This window comes from Homo sapiens, chromosome X (genome assembly GCF_000001405.40).
Source record: "Homo sapiens chromosome X, GRCh38.p14 Primary Assembly".
NCBI lineage: Eukaryota > Metazoa > Chordata > Mammalia > Primates > Hominidae > Homo > Homo sapiens.
The window spans coordinates 39,612,528-39,615,213 of NC_000023.11; the positions used below are offsets into that span (position 1 = coordinate 39,612,528).

At 52.3% G+C, this 2,686-nt stretch overlaps 1 annotated feature.

The window, feature by feature from the left end:
• Positions 2,044-2,243: an enhancer, noted in NCBI's record as "active region_29527". NCBI's record gives its function as "activates an Ori minimal core promoter by ATAC-STARR-seq in GM12878 lymphoblastoid cells {active_cell/tissue: GM12878}" and the evidence as "EXISTENCE:reporter gene assay evidence [ECO:0000049][PMID:35858748]".

The following is a 2,686-nucleotide window of genomic DNA, read 5'->3' on the forward strand; positions in this document are numbered from 1 at the left end:
CCATCCCAGGAGCCAGAGCACGTGAATTCCCCTTTGCTCTCCAACTCTCTTTCTTGTACACGACACAAACCTTGAGTATGGGCTCTGCATTTCTCTAGAGAGCTGCTTCTCAAACTTCAGCCCAGAGGGCTTGTTAAAACAGAATGGCGGCCAGGTGCGGTGGCTCACGCCTGTAATCCCAGCACTTGGGGAGGCTGAGGCAGGTGGGTCACCTGAGGTCAGGAGTTGGAGACCACCCTAGCCAACATGGCAAAACCCTGCCTCTACTAAAAATACAAAAATTAGCTGGGCATGGTGGTGCATGCCTGTAATCCCAGCTACTTGGGAGGCTGAGGCAGGAGAATCGCTTGAACCTGGGAGGCAGAGGTTGCAGTGAGCTGAGATCGTGCCACTGCACTCCAGCCTGGGCGACAGAGCAAGACTCTGTCTAAAAAAAAAAAAAAAAAACCAGAGTGGTGGGGTCCCACGTCCCACTCCCCAGAGTGTCTCAGTCAGGAGGTCTAAGCTGGGGCCAGAGAATATCCCAGGTGATGATGCAGTTGGTCCAGGGACCACAGTCGGAGTAAGACAATTTTTTTTCCTTTTAAAATACTTTACAAATTTCATGCTGTGGTTATTGTCTGTATTAAACCGGAAATTGGGAGGTAATAGCATTTATTTGTTTGAGTTTGTAAATATCCAGTGTCCAGCTCTAGATTCAATGAGCAAAATAACTATTTAGGTAAAAGGTAAGGACCTCACTGAGGAAGGAAGGAAGGAAGGAAGGAAGGAAGGGAGGGAGGGAGGGAGGGAGGTTGGATGGGAGGGGAGGGGAGGAAGAAAGAGAGAAAGAGAGGAAGAAAAAGATATACGCAGTTGGAAAAGCCAGATTCTAGAACATCTCTGGAAGGTGTGATTCTAAAGCAAGCACAGCTCCACGGCTGGACTACAAGGAATGTGGCTTTTCTCTGTGTTTTCCTACTGCACGGGGCTAGCAGGGGTCGATTATCCTACCAACCTGAGTCATTCTTCACTAACGCGGGGGGCGATGGGCAGAGGGCAAGCCGGGAGGCCAGTGCCTGCCCGGGGCGCACCTGTCACGCTGAGGGAGGGCAGCCCGCGCCCTTTGGCTGATCCCACTGCCTGGAAACGAGCCAGACTCCTCTGCCTTTGAAATCCTGTTCCTTGGAGCAATCCCGGCTCGCTAGGTTTAATTGTTTCGTCTCTTTTTTTCTGGTTTATGAAGCCGCCCCGCCTGAAGTCCGCCCCTTGCGCAGCGGCCCGGAAAGGTGGGAGGAGTGCAGGCTGCGCTCCCCGCTCGGGGAGAGTCGGTTCCTATTTCCTGATTATAAAGAAGCATTCTTTGGGAGCTGATGAATTGCGGCGGGGCTAGGGCCGGCAGGACGCGCACCTGTGATGCTCTGCAGCCGCCGGAGTCTGTTTATGCATCAAATGTGCCCACAGATTTTTCCTGGTGCTTGGGGAGACGGGGGAGGCGGTGCGGGCAGCCTCCCGCCCCCCCGCTCCCCCCCGCCAAACACACACACACAGGTTTGAAAGCCTCTGAGACCTTGCTACTAAAAATGTGGTCTACGGACCAGCAGCATCACCTGGGAGCTTGTTAGAAATGCAAATCTCGGGCCCGCCTAGACCTACTGAATCAGCATCTGCATTTTAATGAATCCTGGGGTAATTCCCTATTTACGTTAAAGTTTGAGAAGCGCGACGCAGGGGTCCACGGCAGAGAAAAGGTTAAGAACTCTGATCTCAGACAAGGAAAGGGAGGAAAGAGGAGGGAAAGTCCAGTCCCGGATTTGGAAGGGGGAGCGGAGGGTTAACCCTGAGGTTTACCGCTGGAGTGGAAGACAGAGAAATTAACATATGGAGTGAGTTAGCGGAGAGGTCGTTGAAATTGGGAGTAAACACAGGCAGGGGACAGCTCAGTTTGCCCAGGGGGAGGGGTGGAAAGAGAAGAGATGGGGTTAAGTGGGTGCCACCCACACTCCCAGGAAAGTTGGGTAGGTTGCATGCTGTGACCTTTGGCTCCTCCTCCCGCGTGTTTTCTGAGACTCAACCAACACATTTTGGCACGCACACAGGGTAGACCACAAAACAGCAGAGGCCAGAGCTTGAGGGCAGGCGTGGAGCCGAGGTAAAAAGCACCTGGGAGTTTCTTAATAAGCAGGCTGACGTGGTGAAAAAAATTCTAATGCAGGAAGAAAGAGAAAGCACGTGGTCATAAAAAGTGTGCCCTGGCATCCTACATCCATACCCAAGAGGACATGCCTGGCAGAGAGTGCACCCGTGGAGCCAGGGTGACTGCAATCCTCTTGGGCCCAGATCAGCTCCTGTCTGTGCCCAAGAACCAGCTCGCTCTCCATTTTCTGCACTAGGGGAGGAGAGAAGAAGTCCTGAGAGTGTTAAAGAGCAAGTAATCCAAAAAGAAATGACATGGATTTGGCATAAGGGCCTTTCTAGGCCCCCATCTGACACCCTCTTGCCCTCACTTACTGTCAGCGCTGCTGGAACCAGGTGGTGGTGGTGAGGGAAGGAAACTTGAGTTACAGCTCCAAAGCAGGAGAGATACTTTCCAAATCTGAAGTAGGTGACACACTTCCAGACACCCCTCTATGGCTCTTTCTTCAGTCCTGTTCAACATTTTTTTGCAAGGGGCAGATGGACCAATGTAAGACAAACACCTAGCTGG